The 22589-nt window shown below is 42.9% G+C and overlaps 2 protein-coding genes across 19 annotated transcripts in view; both read left to right on the top strand.

Moving 5' to 3' along the window:
- The window catches only part of AGBL4 (AGBL carboxypeptidase 4), a 1501444-nt gene that overhangs the window by 1237964 nt on the left and 240891 nt on the right, over positions 1 to 22589 (top strand). The gene's annotated exons all lie outside the window — the stretch shown is intronic.
- BEND5 (BEN domain containing 5) overlaps positions 9100 to 22589 on the top strand; it is a 49373-nt gene continuing 35883 nt past the window's right edge. For 6 of the 11 annotated variants that reach the window (NR_146232.2, NM_001349793.2, NM_024603.4 and 3 more), the window contains exon 1: positions 9100 to 9385. Coding sequence is in view for 4 of the 11 variants with exons in the window: in NM_024603.4 (NP_078879.2) it covers positions 9160 to 9385 (226 nt within the window). In the remaining 7 variants the exon portion in view is untranslated. Of the gene's footprint in view, positions 9386 to 9829; positions 10027 to 10060; positions 12932 to 22589 lie in introns of those variants that run through there. The other 5 variants (NM_001349795.2, XM_047430505.1, NM_001349794.2 and 2 more) reach the window with 5 other exon arrangements.

The raw sequence follows: 22589 nt of genomic DNA, 5'->3' as shown, positions 1-22589 counted from the left end.
ATGAGGACTTGTGAAGGGCAGGCATTTTGAACCACCAGGTGCTTGGGATGAGCAGAGATGATAACCAGAGAACTAATGTGGTCTCTGAAGGAAGGTTGCCCTATTGTCTCAAAAATGATGTTGGAATCATCAGAAGACTAGAATGAGGCAGGGTTCTCCTTAACTAAGTAGGGGGTTAGAGAGTCAGTGACTTCCAGCCAACAACAACAGGATAAGAAAGAACTCTAGCCTTGTGGAATAAGGCAGAATCACCATCTTGTTTCCCGGAAGGCCCAGAGACTGTGTCAATGAGGTTCCTGCTACTATTATGTTATTATTAGGATTAGTGTATGACCACCATGTGTGACTGTCAACTTGACTATTTTTCTTCTGTGTACATCATTTTTCTATTTATTTCCATTTTGTTCTCTCCTCGTATTTGGAAAAACATTTTGAAAATGTTAACTATCCAGTGGTTGCTAAGGGAAAATGGGAAATAGGCTTTTATTGATGTTCCAGTCAGATAGGAGCCAGACATGGTGGAAGCACAGAAACACAGAGAGGAAAATGAGACTTAGAGGGACAGAATATGGCCCTTCGTACACCTGTTGCCTCTCATCTCTGGGTAGGGGGGTTCTTTAGGGTCTGCCTTTCAGACATGCACTCATTCAACAAGTGTCTGTTTAGGGTTTCTCATGTGCCAGGTTAGGCACAAGGATGCAACAGTGAAGAAAACAGATATGGTCACTTCTCTAATGGAGCTTTGATCTATAGGCAGAGATAGACCATAATAGAATAAACACATAATTACATACTAAGATACACTCCATGAAGAAAACTATAAGAAGCCATGGAAGTGTGTAAGAAGGACTGGAGCTAGTCTATGGAGGGGGATGGAAGGAGTGAGTCAGGGAGGACTTTCCTGAGGAAGTGACATTTCACCTGAAAAATTACAGAATGAGTTAATTTAATAAAGGAAACCAGAGGCAACTTCTCAAACTAGTTGGCCCCTAATTGAAATTCATAATTTCAAGAAGCGAGTTGCATTTTTCCGAGGTAGGTCAATCTTTTCATTTCTTTTTCAAAACGAATTCAAATGTTGGTTCTTTGTGACAATTTTTTACATTAATAAATTTATTTTCATCTTTAACCACAGGGAATCTATTTACTTTTTGTTGCTTATGCAGAGTATATTATACTACTAGTAAAATGCTGGGATTCAGATCATTTGTTTGACCAATGATTTCCATTTGTGACCCACATGAGCTCATAAGATAGCTGAGATCTGAATGGTTGAATTTGACTGCAGTTTGCCTGAACTGAACTTCAAGCCAATGTGCACATCCACAAGGCTTCAGATTGCTGTAAACGCTTCTACACTTTACATTTTATATAATGCATAGAAGTTTTTATTTCTTCTCTTAAAAAAATACTCAACAAAGTCAGTTTGAAAGAATGAATGGCCCCAAACACAGTATTTCAGAAGTATTTGCTGCAGGTTTGGGCAAGCCCTGTGGCCTCAGAGGCTCTTGAACATTTGAAATTAGAGAGCTTCTTTAGTGACTGTGACCCATGACCACAGAGTTTTATTGAAGGGGACAGCATTTGGCGGGAATCATTCTAGGATGCTTGTTGGATTATCATTAGCATTGTTCAGTCTGTTATATTCAATTTGATTCAGTAAAAATATATTGGACACCCCCACTCTGTGTCAGAATGGGGATATGTGTTCTTATAATTATAACTATAATAATTATTTTAACAGTAACAGCAGCAATCATTTACTGAGAACTCACCACAGTGTCAGGCACTGTGCCAAGCATTTTACATAGATTATCTCATTTAATCCTCAGAACATCTCTGTGAAGTTGAATTAATATTCTTATGAAGAAAATGATGCTTGAAGAGATTAAGAAACATACCCAAGGCCACACCATAAGAATAGACGTTACTTATCAGACCAGGATTTGGACCCAGAGCCTAAGACTAAATATACTGTTTTCTTTTTACATTGGCATGTCATTTTTCAGATGAAGAAATCATAACTCAGAGATGCTAAGTGACTTCCCCAAGGTTAGATAGACATTTAGGATCCCTATATATTTTTCCTGAAAATAATAATATTTATGACTTGTTGAGAATTTCCTGTGTGCTTGGCATGTTACCTTAAGATCTTCTAACTCAGAGGTGCTCAACTTCGTCTCATGTTAGAAGACTCTGGGAATTAAAAAACAACAAAAAAAATCAATGCCTAGGCCCCATCCCAAACCAATTGAATCAGGGTCTCAGGGGATAGGACCTGGGGATGGAATATTTTTTAATTCCCAAGGTGATCCTTATACACAGAAAGGGTGGAAAATTCCTGGCCCACGTCTCACAACACCTTCACAGGTGAGAAAGCTGAGGCTCATGGAGGTGAATTGTCTTGCCTAAAGTTACAGCAAAGATGTAACAAAGTCAGGTTTTAACCACTGGTTTGATTCCTAAGCCCACATTTCTTTGGCCCTCCAATCTGTCATCTACATGACAAGTTTACATTCCCTCTAAGTCTCACCTGGATAACTTATCCAGGTGATGTTCATTGGCCTTTAAGCCTGTACCCAACATGCAGCTCCTCTCTTTGCTTCCTTCCCCCTCTGCATTGCTATTCTCTTCCCCTGCCCAAAATCCCACAAGCAGACTCAATCAGACTTCATGAGCAGGAGTGCATATGAATGAGTTGGGTTGATGCCCCTGCTTTATGGTGTGACTACACAGCTCAGGATAATGCCCACTACAGGCCTCCCAGTAGCTCCAGATCCTCCTGGCCATGTATCAACGTTCCTTCCTTGAATCAACCTGAGAAGACAGTGGCCCTCAGCTTGCAGCACAGCAAATTACTTTTCTGGGCAAAATAGGAAAATTTAAAAAATGTAAAAGGCCATAAGACAACATGGAAAAATCTTAAATGCATATTATTAAGTAAAAGAAGCCAATCTGAGAAGGCTACATAGTGTATGATTCCAACTATATGACATTCTGGAAAAGGCAAAACTATGGAGACAGTAAAAAGATCAGTGGTTGCAAGGGTTGGGGCTGCTGAGGTGGGCTAAATAGGTGGAACACAGAGGATTTTTAAGACAGTGAAGTTAGTCTGTATGATACCATAATGGTGGATACATGCCATTATATTTTTGTCCAAAGTCATAGAACGTACACCAAGAGTGAACTCAAATGTAAACTGTGGACTTTGGGTGATGATGATGTGTCAATGTAGGTTCATCAGTTGCAACAGATATACCACTCTGGTGGGGGATGTTGGTATTAAGGAGGCTATACCTGTGTGGGTGATAGGAGGTATGAAGGCAATTTCTGTACTTGCCTCTTAATTTTACTATGAACCTAAAACTACTATTTAAAAAGTCTTTCAAAAATGTAAAAAGCAGAGACTTGAAAAGTCTAATCAAACATCACAGGGAAAAAAGGCAAAATCATGAAAAAATGTGGTCAATCATTAGCAGAGAGGTTGAAAAGGCACGCTCCAATTGCTTTAAAAATTTACAAAACCCAGGTCTCCTTAAAAATAGTTTTGCAAACTACATTGAGAATTCCATGTAGTAATATGAAACATAAGTCCCACTGCTGCCACTGAACATGCTTCAGCTGGCTAAACCAAAGGAGCCTGACATTAACCCAAGGCTCTGCAAAACTCAACAGGAGAGTGGAGTGGAGATGCAGTTGCAAAGCTGCCCCAGATGTGTACATTTTCTGCTCCATTAAAATGACTTGGATGAAAGGCAAAGCACATTTGGCCCACAGAAAAAGAGAGTCGGGGGAGGGGTGAGACAGGACAGTCAGCGTCTTCGCAGGCCTCTGTCTCCCCAGACTTGCGTCCCCTCCAATCCTTCCCCACAATGTTTCTAGAGCAAACTGTCTAAAATTGAAATATAACCACAAGCCTTCCAGGGCTCCCCAGAGCCAAACTGCTTTGCCATAGTTCTCCATGTTCTCAACTCTATCATGTGTTTAATAACACCCACCTGAAGAATTTGGTGTGAAGTAATTGAGATCATGTATACACAGCGCCTGGCATGCATGATTTATAAGCTTTAGAGAAAAAATAGGTATTACAATTATCATCACTGAAACCAGGTCATATGAGGAGAGACAGGTGAAGGAAATGAAGATGTTTGGGCAGAAGACAAAGAGCTGGGAGACAGGATTCCAAGTTTCACCATGTCTGAAGGGCAGGCGTGAGAGTCTTGGTGAACCTAGTATGGCTGCTATAAGGTTAAAGATTCTACCTCAGTGCAAGTAAAAAAGACCTTTCTAACACTTGGTAATGTATAAAAGTTAAGGGGAGCTAGTAAGCTTCCTGGCATTAGAACTGTATAAAAGGTGTTCTAGATGCCCATTTGGCAGAAATATTGAAGAGGGGATTCAACAATGATTTGGTTAAACTTGAAGTTTGCAGTTGCCTCTTTAAGTCTGAAATCTGTATTTAAACTATCTTTGCTCACCAGTCAATGAATCATCAATATCTTGAGTATCTGGTATGTGTAAAGCCCAGGGCTATGGTCTCCAGGTCAAAGTACTGTTGCTCAGTTTTCAGTAGGGTGGAAGAGGCGCCCTATGGCACATAGTAGGTTTTCCATTAAGCTGTATCCATAGACTGAATGTGTGAGTCACACAGGAAGCAGGAACTGACGTCTTTCTGGTGCCGTCCAAGGGTATCTCTTTAAGCATCCCGTGCCAGTCATGACTACTCCAGAATCGATTCTGTGGATCTATGAAACATGTGTTTTGATCTGTGTTTACTCTGTCAGCATCCGGGTCCATCGTCTGTTCTTTTCCTCTTTCTGGGTTATCGGAAAATGGAACTGCCTCCTTATAGGAATGATTTACAGTGACATGGGTAGGGAATTTGAACCCCAGGGTGCAGTGATATTTAATATGTTAATGAATGTGTCTGTCTTACAAGTGGTAGAATCAATGTTCTTCTGCCCTTCGATCACTGGGAATGGGAAAGGCAGAGTTGGGATTCAGCATCAACCCTTAAAAAGGGGAACAGACTATGCAGAAGCTCTTTAGTTTAATTAGATCCCATTTGTCAATTTTGGCTTTTGTCGCCATTGCTTTTAGTGTTTTAGTCATGAAGTCTTTGCCCATGCCTATGTCCTGAATGGTATTACCTAGGTTTTCTTCTAGAGTTTTTATGGTTTTAGGTCTTACATTTAAGTGTTCAATCCATCTTGAGTTAATTTTTGTATAAGGTGTAAGGAGGGGGTCCAGTTTTAGTTTTGTGCATATGGCTAGCTAGTTTTCCTAACACTATTTATTAAACAGGGAATCCTTTCCCCAATGCTTGTTTTTGTCAGGTTTGTCAAACATCAGATGGTTGTAGATGTGTGGCATTATTTCTGAGGCCTCTGTTCTGTTCCATTGGTCTATATACCTGTTTTGGTACCAGTACTATGCTGTTTTGGCTACTGTAGCCTTCTAGTATGGTTTGAAGTCAGGTAGCATGATGCCTCAGTTTTGTTCTTTTTGCTTAGGATTGTGTTGGCTACATGGGCTCTTTTTTGGTTCCATATGAAATTTAAAGTAGTTTTTTCTAATTCCGTGAAGAAAGTTAATGGTAGCTTGATGGGGATAGCATTGAATCTATAAATTACTTTGGGCAATATGACCATTTTCACAATATTGATTCTTCCTATCCATGAGCATGGAATGTTTTTTCATTTGTTTGTGTCCTATTCTCTCTCATAAGTGGGAGGTGAACAATGAGAACACATAGATACGGGGAGGGGAACATCACATACCGGGGCCTGTAGGGGGGTGGGGGGCTGGGGGACTAGGGGAGGGATAGCATTAGGAGAAATACCTAATGTAGTTGATGAGTTGATGAGTGCAGCAAACCATCATGGCATGTGTATACCTATGTAACAAACCTGCATGTTTTGCACATGTATACCAGAGCTTAAAGTGTAATAATAATAATAATATTAATAATAATAAAGGCCGGGCGCGGTGGCTCACATCTGTAATCCCAGCACATTGGGAGGCCGAGGAGGGTGGATTGCCTGAGGTCAGGAATTTGAGACCAGCCTGACCAACATGGTGAAAACTCGTCTCTACTAAAAATACAAAAATTAGCCAGGCGTGGTGGCGAGCACCTGTAATCCCAGCTACTTGGGAGGCTGAGGCAGGAGAATCGCTTGAACCTGGGAGGTGGAAGTGGCAGTGAGCCGAGACCAGGCCATTGCACTCCAGCCTGGGCAACAAGAGCGAAACTCCGTCTCAAGAAAAAAAAAAAAAAAAAAAAAAAGAGAGGAACAGACTTTCAAGAAAAAATGTGCAAGAGGTTTGTTATTCATGCTCTCTTTATGTCCTTCTTTAATACATTTGTTTTATAAACATTTACTCCCCAGCCCTGTGCTAGGTACCTGGGATGCTAAAGTTACTCAGCCTTTGCCTCCCCTCAAAGAGCTCTTATTCTAGTGAGGGAAGATAAAAAGTGCTGGGACAAAATATTGTAGTAGAAAGAGATAGGCTATCCTTGAAAAGTGTGGGTGGTTGGGAAAGGCTTCACAAAGGCAATGACATTTGAGCTGATTTTCAGGGTAAGTTGAGGAAGGAAGAACTTCCCAGGATGAAGGCAGAAAAAGCACAAAAGCTTGGGACCTGCTAAAACATGCTATCTTTGGAAATGTCAAATAGTTTAGGTGTCTGGAGTGTACTGTGTCTGGGAAGGTAGTAAGAGATGAGATTGGTAATGTTTTGTGGTCACCCCCATTTAGATGCAGAGAGGAGGTTGGCCATTGGCTACTTGAAATCATTTTGGGAACATAGTCCGGAGCTTCAAGGACTTTTGTTAAATACGGCCAACTCTGCATGATCCATCTTGTGAATTATCAGAAGTCTTGCTGCACATTACTTCCCCTTGACCACCATAGGAATGTATTCTTAAAATAAAAACTCACTGAGGATCAGTCCAAAGAAATCATAATCATGACAGTAAATGTGCTGGAACAACTCAGAGTGGCTCCTTTTTTTTCCACAAGCTTGTGGGGCAAGATAAGACCAACAGCTGCATCAGGACAAGTGGTGGTCATTTTTGGCTGTACCACATAACCAGTGGGTTGGTTTAAAAAAATTTGTACTGACCTACACATTTGGATATGAGAGCTATATGTTGATGGGATTCACTTATATAACGCACTGTCTATTTCACAGTGAAATAAATATCTGCCTCATTGTCAGTGCAGCTGATGTGAAATATGAGCACAGTGCTTTGATTTTATAATGTTTGATGTTTTCTGATGATAAAGTAATAAAACATTGTGGAAAATAGTTACATACACACACACACACACAATGAATACAAGGAAAAACAAAATCATCTACCACTACTAAGAAGCTAAAAAAATCACTATTAACATTTTGGTGCACTTATTCTGTTTTTTTCTTACAGCTAAAGTTTATTAAGATGAATTTTTAAAAATATAACATTTAATTGAGTCCAACACCTCCATTAAGCATTCCTCTATGACAATACTTTTCTCATTATACTGTCATTACTTGCTTATACTTCTTTAATACTCCTAGACTAGATTGTAAAGGTTGTGAGGATGGGAAAGGTATGTTATTCATACAGTTACCTAATTTTGGCACAGGAACCCAAAACTGAGATTCAAGTTCTGGTACACTGACTTTGCAAGGCCCAAGAATCCAGGTGTTTATCTTTTCATTTCTATCACCAGCACCTGGCCCAGAATCTGGCAGGTGGTGTAAACTCAGTGAATATTGGTTGCTTGAATAAAGGAATGAATGAACAGATGGATGGATGGTTGGATGGATGGATGGATGGATGGATGGATGGATGGATGGATGGATGTGGGTTTTTATTTATTCTTCTTTACCCAAAATTCATTAACTCCCTGTCAAGTGCCAGGTCTGGCTAGGCAACAGAAATATAACTAGCCATATTTGATACGAGGCATCCCTGTGAAGGTACTGACCTCCTCTGATGTGGGATAGGGTTCCTATGAGTACAGAGCCCAATCAGCCCCCTTTGGCTGGTCCTCACGGCTTGTCTTGGAGGGGACCCAAGCCCCTCCAGGCTCTCTTTGGCAAGAGACAGAGCAAAGACCGCTATTCCATGGAGTACTATTCCTGTACTCTTCAAAGTGCTCCAGAAATCCCTAGCCTTGGGCCTGTGTTACCCAGAGCGCTCCTCAACTCCCTCCGCGATTCCAAGTTGTCCCTGCTCAGTGGTGGGCGTGCTGTGGAGAGGGTATCTCAATGGAGAAAGACTATAGAGGAGAGGGGCGCCACTGCTCCCTCAGATGAGAGCAGCCCTTGACAAACCTTCCACCTCCCCAGCCAGCTGGCACAACTGGAAATCTCAGATAAGCCCCAGTTCTGGTCAGAACTGGTTTGGCAGCTCTAGGGGAAATTTTCTGTCTGACTGACCCTTTCCACAGAGGGAGCTGGCAGTTTTGCAGAACAAAACAAACAAACAAACAAACAAAAAGAAAGAAAGCAAAGAAAAGGCGGGGCCAAACTAAGGGCTGGGAAAGGCGCGGGGAGGGTGCGGGGCTGGGGGCGCGGGTAGGGTGGCTACATTTAAAACACTCCAAACTTCTGCTGGCTTCCAAGTTTACACTTTGAGATTCAATCAAGATTGCCCCCACCCCTATCCCGCATTCACTCACTCATACACTTCTCTACTTGGCAATGCAGTTTTGTTGCAATGCAATTTGGCAGCGCGATTGTTGAAGCAATATAATCCTGCACGCAGCGCACCTTTTAATCAATGCATTTTTTTCCTGCAATGCTCTTGTTATTATTTTTATTGCAACTGAATCTCTGAACCCTTTTCCCTCCCCATTCGAATCGCGCTCCGGCTGTGATTGCTCGGGTCTGACTTTGCAAGTGGCAGTGCGCTTCCAAACCCCCCTCATCCGCCCCTCGTCCCCCTTTCCCCCCCTCCCTCCCTTTTCCGCGCCCAGGCGAAAGCAGCCGATTGGCAGAACGGTGCTTTCAGGAACAATAACAGTGGGGGGAGCCTGGGTCCTGGGGAGCCGCCCCCGCCCCCCCCAGCACCGTAGCGAGACTCGCGCCCCCCGCCGGATCCCCACCTCCGCGCCCGCCCCGCGGGCTGAGCTGCCCGACCGGGGCCCGCCCCCGGCGCCCACCATGTACGCCTTTGTGCGGTTCCTGGAGGACAACGTCTGCTACGCGCTGCCCGTGTCGTGCGTGCGCGACTTCAGCCCCCGCTCGCGGCTGGATTTTGACAACCAGAAGGTGTACGCCGTGTACCGGGGCCCGGAGGAATTGGGCGCCGGGCCCGAGAGCCCCCCGCGCGCCCCCCGCGACTGGGGCGCGCTGTTGCTCCACAAGGCCCAGATCCTGGCGCTGGCAGGTGAGCAAGCGGGCGGGGAGGGACGGTGGGACCCGGGCGGGGGCTGGGACCCCGGGAGGGGCCGGGGGCCCGGGCGGAGGGGACCGGGGGGAGCCACTGCTTGCTCCTTCCTGCCTCCTTCTCCCGTCCTCTGGGCATTTCATTTGGGAACGGGGTGTCTCTAAGAGGCCAGGCCAGTTAAAAAGACCGGATGGTCCCCTTTGTCTTCCCCGCTTCCCCGAAGCTCCCGCGCTGTCAGTCCGTCTTCATCTCTTCATCTGTGTCTGTCCTCCTCTTTCTGATTCTTTGTGTTTTCTTCGTTCCTTCACTTTCCATTTTTCTCCCTACCTGTTTGTACCGTCATTTCTCTCTCACCTTCTCTTTACCTCTCTCCCAGTTCCTTCCCTCTGTTCTTTTCTGTCAAGAATTAAGTTTCTCAAGCTGTCTGTCTCTCTCCCTTTAAAGGCTGTTGGTACCTCCTTGGAGTGAGGAGCAAGAAGGATATTGTCAGATCTTCTAGGTGGGAGTCCCTCCTCACAGAGGGAAGCTATGACATCCTTGTCCCATCCGGGCCAACATTGGACAGGATGAGGAGGCCATGAACCTCAGTGCACTGGGCTCCACACCACACTCTCCTGCCCCTCCCTGGCCAGGTGGCAGAGGTAAGGAGGTAGAGGCCCTAAGGCATCCCTCAGCCTCCACACCCCTTTCTGAATCTCCCAGAAGGCTCCCTGAATGAGAGAGTTGAGGGCCAGGAGAGAGTTTCTGGGTCAGAATAACACTGGACCTCTCATCCCTGCCCTGCCAGGGCCCTGAGAGATGGGCTAAGGCAGCTAGTCTCATCTCCATTTCGTAGATGAGGGTACTGAGGTTCAGTTGGTGATAGGGAAAGAAACCAGCCCTTTATCCTCCTATGCTCCAGTTCTTCCTGCCATGCTGAGACACCTTTTCCTTTGTAAAGAGAAGACAGCTGGCCCTCTTTCCCAGCTAGTTCCAGAAAGTTTGAGTCTAGACAAGCAAGGAAGGGGGAAGTATCATCTCCGTTTTGGGGAGCAGCCTTTTTAGCTCCTGCTGGTAAGGAGAATGAACCTTAAAGTGGGCAAATAGTGTTCCTGCCTTCTACCAGAAAGAACACGAAGGGTTAGTGACTGAATGAAGATGTTTTGTAATTTTGAGACCTTCTCTATTTTTTTCAAGTTCCTTTGCTTCCTCACATTTAGCCTAAAAGATGAACCCAACATTCTCTCAACCCATAGAGACTTGCCCAGGGTCTCATGGCAAGTTAGCTCAGTCTCACAACTCATGTTGCCTCTGAAAAATCGGTTTGCAGAAGTTGAAGAGTGGAAGAACTGGAAACTGACCAGCAGCACTTGGACCCTTTTTGACAGGCTCTATCCATACCACCTCCCTGATAAGCCCTGGCACACCGAAGTGTAGGCCCACCCACTGCCAGACACCTAGGGCCAAAGAAACTGAGGGAGGGGAAGCAGATTTTAGAAAAGGGAACCATTCATAGCTGATTAGGTTTTATTTTGTTTGCTTACTTGCCTTTAATTACCTGAGGGAAAGGATTAGGAATTTATTTCCCAAGACGATAGGCTTGAGGAAGTTATAACTAGGTTGTAACCTTAGCTTCCCTTTTGCTAGAAGAAAATGCATGCATGCTTCTTGACGATTGTATTGTACTCCTAGATCTGGAAGGGTCCTAGGAGAGTAGAAGTGATGTGTTAAAGAGAGTCAGTGATAAGTTTCTTAGTGTGTAATGGCTGTTTTCCTCTCTTGGAGATTGTTTCATTCATCTACTCATTCATTCAGCAAACATACATATACACTGTGCTTGACTCTTCAGGCACTGCAGAGAGGCCACTTAGGCAGATGGCAGCTCCCACCAGCTCTGATTTTGAAATCGACACAAGTCCTCAGAAGCAAGATACATGTAGCTGTTGGTTTGAGAACCATGAATTTTGAACCTGTAGACTGTTCATCCTCCAAGTTAGAATGTTGATAAATCTGTATGGTTATTTAAAAAACCCAAGCATCATTTGGAAACTGGCAGAGTAGGTTCAAAGAAGTGTGCCAGTTTGAATTAGTTGAAAAACACTTCCCCTTACCTCTCTTCAGTTTTTTTCTTGGGAGGAGAAAGGGGAAAAAAAGACAACAACTTGAAGTTGGCCAAACCACATTTTGAATTTTGATCTCCTGGGTACCCACTGCCCTGCATAGAGACCTGATCGAAGGGCCAGGGTGAGTTCGGGAATTCATTACCCTGGAATAACTCCTATGTATCTTCAAACCCCTTCCTGACTTAAACTTGGTGGCTCTGAGAATTGCTTACAGTGACTTCAGAGAGCTCATCTGGCATCTCCTATATGTAAATACCACTGTGCTATGGCACCAGGTGTGAGGAGGAATCCCCTCAAGTGGGAAGCAGAGGTGGCTTTATGTTTGTGGATTAGCTATTAATTGATTAATTAATCTCTCTGACACAAATAGAATGGTTTCCAAGGTAGTTTCAGCACAGCTTTCTGGCTTTTGGTGAGAAGTATGTTGCTATACTGAGTGTTGGCCCAAGCCAGCCCAGAGCTGTCTTGAAGTATACTTCTTTTTATACTCAGGAAATGTCAAAGCCGACTGCTGTGGGACTTTACATTTTACTGCCCATAGTAGGTGGTTTATACCACTACTTATCAAATTACAATCCCAGTTCAAGGAAAAACAAAACTCCTTCTTTCCTGATAGTCTTGCTATATGCCTACACATTATCTCTGTTAGTCCTCTAAGTGACATTTTGGTAGGTATTGCTGTGGTTAGTATTTCCATTTCATAGATGAGGACACCGAAGCTCAGAGACTTGCCTACAGCCACACAGCTAATAAATGGCAAGGCTGGAATTGGAACACAGGTCTTCCAGTGCCAGGCCCCCACTTGGCAGTCTCCTTTGTAAAGTAGCCGATGTTCCCATCAGCTACACAGCATGATTTGGAAGGAGTGAAAGGAAATGGAAAAACTGTCCATGAAGCTTACAGCTCAAGGCAAGTTTTCAAGCCAGAGTATAATTTTAGTTTCTGAGTTTTCAAGCCCATTCTGCTCTTTCTCCATTACCATCCTCCCTCTTACAGAGCACACACAGCTGTCCCCCACCCGCCTATCTCTTCAGTTGGCATTTGCTTGAATAAATCTTCACTAAGGCTGTCCCTCTTGGAGGGTCCACATAACTCAAAGTTTGACTCACCTTTGACCTCTGTTCTCTCTTTACTCTCATTTATTTGCCAAGCAGGTTGTGAAAGTGAGAACTACTCATTTGGAGAGCTCACCATCATCTAACTGCAATCCAGCCTGCTACTGGGGCTCATAGTGTTGAATTTTATTTTTTTTTTAGGAGGCTCAAACTGGTTTCTCTGTGCCTAGAGCCCTAAAATTTTAAGTTGTTCTATCTAGGCACCTGTGCTCTGTTACTGTTGTTTGAGTGTGCTGAATTTTTTTGTTTCAGATGTCTCCTTACTGCTTTCTGTATGCCAGGCCCAGTGCTGTATTAAGTGAATATACCAGTGCACCTATGCATCTCAGGTACTGTGATTGAAATGACAGCACGACCCAGGGGTGGCAGGCGTTGACTTTTCATGTCCTGCTATGTAGGATTTCTGTGGGGGAGGGAGTGATGGAAAAGAAATGGGTATCATCCTCAGGGAGTGTGTAATTTGGGGGCCTCAAAGTAAGTGCTAAATAAAGGTAGAAGCCAGGCACTGGGGAAACACAGAGAATGGACCAATTCAAGGTGGGCTTTGCAGTTTATCTTTTAAGTTTTTCTTTTCCAGCTCCACCATCACTGCCTGCATTCAGGTCAGCATCAGCTCTTATCTAAACTATTGAAGCAGTCTTCTAATTGATTACCATGTCTCTGATCTATTTTCCCAATTGCTTTTAGAATAATCTTCTAAAACACAGTCTTAGTTGACTGCTCTCATTAGAACCTTCTGTAGCTCCCTATTGCCTACTGAAAAAAGTTTTAGTTTCTTAGCCTGGCATTCATAGCCCTCCTTAGACCAGCTCTATCCCAGCCCCACCTTACTTCTCCAGCCTCACTCTCTCTTCCCCTTTCCCTGAGACCTATGGTATTTTTTACTCTTCTGTGAACACACTCTCTCGCACTCCTTTGAGCCAGCCAAGGTGGATTAATCATTGTCTGATATGGGGCCTCTGCCTGCAAGGAGCTCACCTACAGGTGGGGAAGGTAGACATGTGACAGAAGTTTGTGGTCCAGCCCCCCTCCACCTGTGATAAAGGAGTGGACAAAGTACATTTGGAGACCTTGCTTCAGTGGTAGTCCCTATTCCTCCCTCTGCGCCCAAGAGAGACTCTCTCCCTCCTCAGAACTCTCTTTTCACTTTGGTTTTGCCTTGCTTATGGATTGTAGCATTTTATGTCTTGTTTTTATTAGTCATGAATGTGCCTCTCTTCCTGCCTGACAGGGAACTCCTCTAGGACAGGGGCCTGGCTTCCTTGTGCCTGCATCCTCAGTGCCCAGCATATAGTCTGCACTGGTGTGCCCATGTTGAACTCATCAACTTTGGGAAGACAGGTGCATTTTTGTGCTTGAGGAGAGGGAAATAGGGGAGATAGGAACCTCTGCAGCAGCAGCTTGTTTTTCAGAACAGAAACCTGCCGTAGGATTTTAAGTTTTCATTCAACTTTGTTCATCTGGAAGAAGTCAACATTCTTTATCACTCCCTCAACTAGCTAGAAGAAACCCCACACTTGGGGGAAATAGCTTCCAAAGCCATGTTCTTATTGCTTTGGTAATTTTAGCTCATTCAGGGCTCAGGTCCCAGCTTGGCATTGTTAGTCCAAATAGATCATTTGCTCCAGAAATGCTTTGGAACTTCTACAAAGTTAGCAGTGAAGCAGAGGACTAGCCGATTTCATATGCAAAGATTGTTGCGTGTCATCAGTGGGAAACTGCCAACAAAAGGATTTATTTTCTTGAAAAAAGTGAGTGAAAACTTTTAATTTAGGTTTTGACATGTTTTGCTGATATACATTGGAGCAAAGATTGGAAATTGCCTGCTGTCATCTGTTGCGGATTCTACTGGGATGTTAACCATTGAGGGTTCAGTCTAATGTGATTTCTCATGTTCAACAACCACCAATTTTTACAGCTAAATAGTATGTGCTACAGAGTGCTTCAGAGTTCTGGTTCATAAGCAGAAATAAAAAATTGTCCCAGGCAAGTTGCTTTTTATGTGGTGTTTTGCTGTTCAAGAGCACACCAGTTTTTATTTTTAAAAGCACATCCAGAAAGCAGAATTCAGATTGGGGTCTTTGACACCAAGACCAATTCTCTTTCTAGTGTGCCTACCTGCTTTGTCTTATAAGCTCCTTAGGGACAGAAGTTGTGTGTACTCTTTCTACCAGAAGAACATTCGTAATCTGGAGACATTTTCTCTGGTTGATTTAAGTTCCACAAGTATTGAGTTATACTAGGTGGTCAGTCTTATACTCCAGGGAAATGCAGGAAGAGGAATAAGCACTGTGTTTCCCTACCAAATATGTTATAAATACTCACCTGGTTCCAGGTTCAGTGCACATATTCTACATCCTTGTGAGATAGAGATTTTTGTTTTACCCAAGAAAAGAGAGCCATTCAAACAGTTGTTTAGTGAACACTGTAGGTGCCAGGCAGTGGGCTAAGTCTTCCCACATGGACTGGACTTGTGGATAAATATGAGTCAGTTCAGTCCAAAATTCTGAGACCTAAACTAAGGTGGTGGTGGTCATGGTGGACCTGAGATATTTTAAGGAAGGAGGGACTAATTCATGGGACTTAGTAACTGACTGGTTGTAATAATGTGTATGATGATGATGTGGTGATCTGGGCCTCCCTGTCTCGAGGAGAACCCTGGAAGTGTAGCTGGTTGAAAGGGAAAATGATGAGTAGCTTGAGACCTGTCGAATCTTAAGGGCCCATGGAACATCTGGGTGGATATGTCAGGAGAGCAAGTAGGCATGTGGTCTGAGGTTCAGAAGAGCATTCCAAGTCAAAGATCTCAATCTGGAAGTCATGAACTAAGGAAGGTTTGAAGTTACAGTGGGAGAGAGTGCAGAGTGAGAGAAGCGTGCAAGGGCAGAACATCGGCTTTTAAAGGCACAGTTAAAGAAGAGCCTGAAAAAAAAGTGACTGGGGAGAAACAGCCTTCCTAGTCTAACAGATGGACTTAGAATCAGGGGATAACCAGCAGAGATAGGTGTCCTGGAAACCAAATGAGAAGAGAGGTCTTTGGATCCTAGAACTAGGCTTGTTTGGGTTTCTTTTAACTATATAGCAGCTACCTTTTCCTTTTCACTCATTGGTCAGACATAGGATAGGACAGCTAAATACATAAGCAGGAAAAGAAAAGATTTGAATGGGATGATATTTTGGTAATTTTCATTTTCTCAGTTTTGCACCACAGAGGAAGGATCAGCCTTGCTCTTGAAAGCAGAGTTGGGGTCAGAGAATGGAATTCACAGGCATTGGTGGGAGCAATATAACAGCAGAGAGAGCAGACAAATAATGGAAAGGGCTTCTAGCATGGTGCTGAGCTCCCTGTCACTAAAGGTGGCAAGCAGGTCAGGGGTATTTTAGGATGGAACCCTGCACTATGGGAGAGTTTGGTTAGATGACTTCTAGATCATTTCCTTAACTACTGAAGAGGAAATTTTAGAGAGCTGAAAGAGGACAGGCTTTGAAGTTACATAGTCTGGGTTAAAATTGTGACTGTGCTACTTAGAAGCTGTGTGGCTTTGGGGAGATTACTTCACATCTCTGAGTTCCAGGTGCTCATCTATAGCATGGAGATAGTAATTGCCCACTGTGTTATTTAGCAGGATAATATGGAAAAATATCTGGCATATAGTAGGTTCTCATTAAATATAGATAACTGTTAGGAACTACAGTGGACTAATAGGTGCTGAGAGAAGAACAGTGACTTGCTTAGTTGTGGGTACTGCCCACTGTGGAAAGGAATGACTTAGAGGAACGAGCACTTGGAAGGAGCATACAAGTTTAAAATTTAACTTGTGTGTGTGTGTGTGTGTGTGTGTGTGTGTGTGTGTGTGTGTGTTTTAAATCCTCCTGGGACTTGACCTAAGCATGAAAGGCTTACTATTAATATTTCCCTCCCTGTTTGTTCCTCTGCGACCCTATCCTGGGGGCATTTATTGTGTTGGCAGCAGCCCTGGTGAGGCACATGGAGGCAGCTAGACAAATGGCTCCATAGAATGAACTTCCCAGTTTTTTCTGTGCCCCAGTCCTGTACCAAGGCCAGAGAGGTGGTGGGAGTGAGAACAAGGAGACCTACTGAAACCTGGCTAGCAATTCCTTCTCTCCCTATGTGGATGGCCTCAGTAGGGCATTTCTTCAAACATGCCCACGTGGAAGAATCTTCTAGCTCATCTACTGTTACCCTACATTACACAGCTGAGAAAGAGACCTGGAAGTCCCTGTGACTGGCCAGCGGTCACATAGCTGGATGGATCTGTTAAGGTTTTCTACTGTAGTCTTCATGTTTTACAGAAAAGAAAATCAAGAGAGGACTAATCACCAAACAAGTTAATGAGAGAGGCAGGCCTCGATTTGGTGTCTCCTGATGTCTTTCTGCAACACCACAGCAGGGCACTCTTTTTTTTGTAGTCTTGGCTGGGTACAATCCTTGAAACTTGAGAATTTTGTCTGCCTTGGATTTTATAAAAACAAACACCATCGGCCAGAGAATGCACTGTGTTTGTATTTTCTGTGGCATATCTGTTTTTAATGCAAACATAAAACTGCACAGGATTTTTGTATAGATGAAAAACTTTAAACTTATATATAGATATTTATAAGACCTTTACAAAGCATTTTATGTGTAGCCTTTCAGAATTTCATCCTGGCTAACAAACTCATACCAAATTAGGCTCTCTGACATTGGATTATTTTAATTGCCCAGCCTGATTATATGTCAAATGGAAGTTAAGACAAAATTTCTCCCATTTTAATAATACTGTAAATTCTTCATGGGTAAATTCACTTTTGAATACAGACTTGCATTGGGTTTCCTGTCACCTGCTTGTTTTTTCTAAAACACCATTTGCCTATTACCAGCATGCTTCCTTTTTTCCCCAGTAGTAAGTTTAATGGAATGTTTATCCTCCTCAGATTAATAACACCAAGTTCTTCTATATTTTTGAATAGCAGTTTTTACCATTTTTTTTACAAGAAAGCTCTTTGTGGCTTTGAGTAGAGACCCTATTTGGGCATTATTTAGAGCTTTGTGGCTTCCATAAGCCTTGTAGTTCAGGAGTTTGGCAACAGGTCATATTTATATAGTGTTTACTTCAACTTGGGAATTCATCACAGTATTCTCTTAGGGTGTAGGCAAGATCTTGGGAGAAAGGCAGGCACTTTAGGAAGTTATATTGACATACTCATGTTACATGTGCCTTTTAGTTCATTTGAGGAAGTTACAGCAACTTCCTTATTTTTCTCTTGTTGCTGTAGGATAATTAGGTGATAGGAACAGGGCCTGTATTAAACAGACTTGATTTGAAATGTTGGCTCTGCTATTTATGTCTTTATGAAAGCCACTTCACTTCTTTGAGCCTCAGTTTCTGCTTCAGTAGCATTATTGTAGGGATTAAATATAGTGAGTTTGTAAGGAATGTTGCCCAGAGCCTGGCACATAGTAGGTGCTCACTCAGTATTTGTTGAATGGATGAATGTAATTAGCTGACATTGTAGTAGCTAGAAAGGAGGAGGAAAAGGATAATGCCCAAATCTTTGGTGGTTTCCCTTGCCCTGGACATAAAAGAGTCCAGAAGTGAAGATTGGTGATTTTATCTTCAGAGGCTGCACATTTATTTTTGTTTACACTAAAACTGATTATTTGGCCTCAAGGTTAGAGTAGTTGCACAGACCGGCTGAGTAAAGAGCTTTTTCATCCTTCCTAGTTTCTTCTGTGGTTTCTTGGAATTCAAAGCCAGAAGCATATCCCAAAGTCACATTAAAATGCCACATAAAGTATTTACTGTCTTACATGATCCACACCACCATTCACCTTCATTCATGTGACCAGTCAAGAGTTACAGCTTCTTGTCACCCTGTGTTCTGTCTCCTCCTCACGTCTTATCCGTCTTGCTTGCCACTGTCACATTAATCTTCCTAAAACATCTCTTTCATCATGTCTCAGTCTGTGTCAGATACCTGCAGTGGTTCTCTTTGCCTTGGGACAAAAGGCAAACAGGTAATACACAAGGGTAGCCTAACAGCTGCTATTTATTGAACATCTATGACAAGAAAGGCACTGTGCTTGGTGCTTTTACATGCACTATCTCTTTGGAAAAGAGTTTATTATCCCCACTTCACTGGTAATGAAACTGAGTCTCAGACAGGTTAACTAGCTTACCCCAAGCTGCCACAGTTAGTATGTAGCAAAGCCAGAATTCCAAATTAGGACCACCTGATTCAAAAGACTGCACTGTTTTTGCTAGATACTGGGCCACCCTCTCCCAACCATTTCTTCCATTTGTTATGATGACACTGAATGTTCAGTAATCTTCTATGGATGTGAGGTATCTATACCTTCAACTCAGGATTAGGGTTAGGATGGCATAGAGAGCAGATATTTGCACTATATAAGCCAGTGTCTCTCACGAAGTCACACCTTGCATTTTGGTTGGGTTCTTATCATATACTGGGTTGTAAGGACCAAAAACACAAGGACTACTTAGCATAGTGCTGAAATCAAAACAGGAACAGTAAATGTTCACTGCCTGCAGAAAAGAATGAGCAGAGGACTTGGGACTTCCCGACCCTCACTCTGGGAACATGGGTCCAGGAAGAGACTGGTAAGTATTAGGATGGAGCCAGGAGGTGGTTAACTCTCAGAGGAGCCTCGAAATCCCCCTGGCCAAGCATGGAGGCAGCCAGGATCCAGGTCAAGAGGCATGTGAATCAAGGTGCTATCTGCTTCTGTCCCTTTCCTGAACTCATTCCTGACACCTCAGAGCTTCCTGGACTATTCAGCCACCTTTTCAAAGAACCCATTCAAGCCCTGAGGGTTGGCCACAACTTGTTTCTGTTGTGCCTGGTGATGGTTGCTGCTTTCTGGAGACTTACTGAGGATAGAGGACGTGGTCTGGCAAGAAAGTGGGAGTCAAGTGGTCTTCTGCTTTGAGCTTAGGCTGGGGAATTTAGATGTCCTCAACTGTAGCTGTCATTCACTCATTCATTCAGTATTTATTCTGGCTCTACCATGTTCCAGGAATGTGTTTAAAGCATAGGCTTAGGAGGCACATAGATCTATAGCACATCTTGGCTCTGCACCTTCCCAGCTGGGTGACTTTAGGAGGAGAGTTTTGTTTCTTTGAGCCTCATTTCTTCTTTTTTGGAAAAAAAAATGTGGCTTATAATACCTACTTGCAAGGTTGTTGTGAGGTATAATTTATATGAAGATCTTTATAGAGGTATCTGACATGTAGTAGACATTCCACAAGTGGTAACCTAATTTTTTATTGAGGTATATTTCATTCAATGTGAATTTTACCATTTTAACCATTTTAAAGTGTGTGCAAGTGAGTGTTTTTTGGTATATTCCTAAAGTTCTGTAACCATCACTACTACTTAATTCCGGAACGTTTTTATCACCCAAAAAGAAAATAAATCCGTGTTACCCATTGAGCAGTCACTCTTTATTGCCCTTTTCCCCCTGCTCTTGGTAACAACTAAACTACTTTTTGTCTCTATGGATTTACCCATTCTGAACATTTCATATAAATGAAATCAATAAATGGCCTTTGTGTCTGGCTTCTTTTACTTTCCATAATATTTTTAAGATTCATCCATGTTGTAACATGAGTCAGTACATCATTTCTTTTTATGGTTGAATAATACTCTGTTGTATGGGTATACCACATTTTGTTATCCATTCATAAGTTGATGGACAGTTGGGTTTTTTTCCACCTTTTGGCTGTTAATGAATAATGCTGTTATGAACATTTGTGTGTGAGTTTTTGTTTGGGTATATGTTTTCATTTATCTTGCATATACACCCAGGAGCGGAATTGCTGGGTTATAGTAATTCTGTGTTTAGTTTTCTGAGGAACTGCCATAATGTTCTCTACTATGGCTGCCCATTCTACAATACCCAGCAGGAATGTATGAGAGTTCCAATATCTTTACATTCTTTACTCTTGTTATTTTCCTTTTATTTTTGATTTGAGCCATCCTAATGAGTATAAAGTGGTATCTCCTTGTAGTTTTGATTTGCATTTCCCTAATGATTGATGATGTTGAGCTCCTTTCATATACTCATTGGTGTAGCCTGTTTTTATTATTCTTTAATTAAACATTTTTGTTTGATGAGTCTCTATTGTATGGATAGTTCTATGATATGGGCCCTGCCCTGATGAGGTTACTCATACGCCAGTGGATAAGATCTTTAAGCAGATAATTGCAAATAGTAAGATAATAGACTACAAAGAAGGTAGGTAGGATGTGTAGATGTGTAATGCATCTTTGAGAGGGAGGGAGGAGATGAGTGGAAGCTAAGCAGAGTTTGTCTAGCACATAAGAAAGAAGGGCATTCTAATTAGATGGAAGAGCTTAGAGCCTTGAGTATAGCTGGTGGGGGAATGAGGCCTCCTGTCATCAGATGGGGAGTGTCACCCATCTTAGGCAGCTAAGCAGGTCTCTACCTCCAGAAGCAAGCCTGCCCCAAGCCCCAAGCCAGCAGAAGCCAGCAGGCAGTCCTTGCTGAGCTCTGTCATCCGCTGCACCTTTGTCTGCACGGGGCTCTATTGTTTTCAAGGAACATTTACTGAGCTGATTTGATCCTACTTGAGGTAGATATTGTATCTCCATTTCTACAGAGAAAAATTATGCTCAGTGAGGTAGCAGCTTGCCTGACATCTCACACCTACAAAGCGACAGAACTGGACTTGGAATCCAGGTTGTCTGACGCCTAGTTTATTCCACATCTGCACACTGAGCCTCAGCTCTTCTTAACTTGGCATTCAAGGCCACTTATTTTCTAGTTCCAACCACCTTTTCTTGCCTTCTCACCTCTCCCTCCTGCTTATAACTGAACCATCTTTCATAACCATTTTGATCCAAATATTTCCCCCCCTTCCCCATTTGGCTTCTATTCTTTACCCCTCTTGTGTAGTCCAGATTCTTACCATCCTTTAAATGGCTATCCTTTTATGAGCACCAACTGTTGAAGTGCCATTCACTCTGCTCAAGTTTTTAACACATAGAATTGGTAATCTTCACAGTTCTGCAACGTGAGTAGGAATTATTCACTTCAATTCATAGATGAGGAAATAGTCTCAGAGAAGTAAATTAACTTACTCAAGATCACCTAGCAAGTAAGGAGTCTAGCTCAAATGCCACCTCCTTTCAAAAGCCTTCCAGGGTTACACTGACGGAAGTGATCTCCCATGCTCCTAAAATCCTTTAGCAGTTACTTCTCCCTTATTCAAATTCAGCATTTGAGATCTTGGGTTCTCTTTTCTTGTGTTTTTATCTTGTATCCCCAACTGGATGTTTGTTCATCTGTGTCCCCCGGGCCAGTTTAGATCCTACAGAGTAAATTCTCAGTAAAGGTTAAGTCGAGGCATAGAAGGCAAAGCTCTGGAACTGGATTATGTGGTCAGAGTTCTCCTACATTCATGTTATGACAGTAACTTCTGTGACCTTGCACAACAGTGAGCTCTCCAGGATGGGGACCCTGTTCATCCTGCCCCTCCTGTATTCCTAGGCCTGAGAGTTGCATGGATGGATGCACAGACTTCACCATTTAGAACCTTGTTTTTCTCATCTGCATTTTGAAAAATAGAATCGGATGATCTGAGGTTCATTCTCCATCCAGATGTTAACATGGTTTTGTGAGTCCGAACGATTGCTTTTCTCCACACTAACATGATCCTGAGCTACAGAGTTTCAGCGCAGGAAGGCATAGCATAGCTTGTCATTTCTAATTGGTGGCTCTGCATGTCAGACTTTGCCCTCAACTTGTCAAACTGAAGACTAGTCCAGGAGCTTTGCCCCAACACATTCAGAAATCCTAATACCACCCTCATCGTCTCTCTCTCTTTCTCTCTTTTTGTCTGTTTTTTTCACACACACACATACACACACACAAAAAAACACCATTGCAAGATAATTTCATCTGAAGTACTTTCTTTAGATTTTACATTTTAGCAGCCTTTT

Source organism: Homo sapiens, chromosome 1 (assembly GCF_000001405.40).
Source record: "Homo sapiens chromosome 1, GRCh38.p14 Primary Assembly".
NCBI lineage: Eukaryota > Metazoa > Chordata > Mammalia > Primates > Hominidae > Homo > Homo sapiens.
This window is presented reverse-complemented; position numbering and strand designations above follow the sequence as displayed.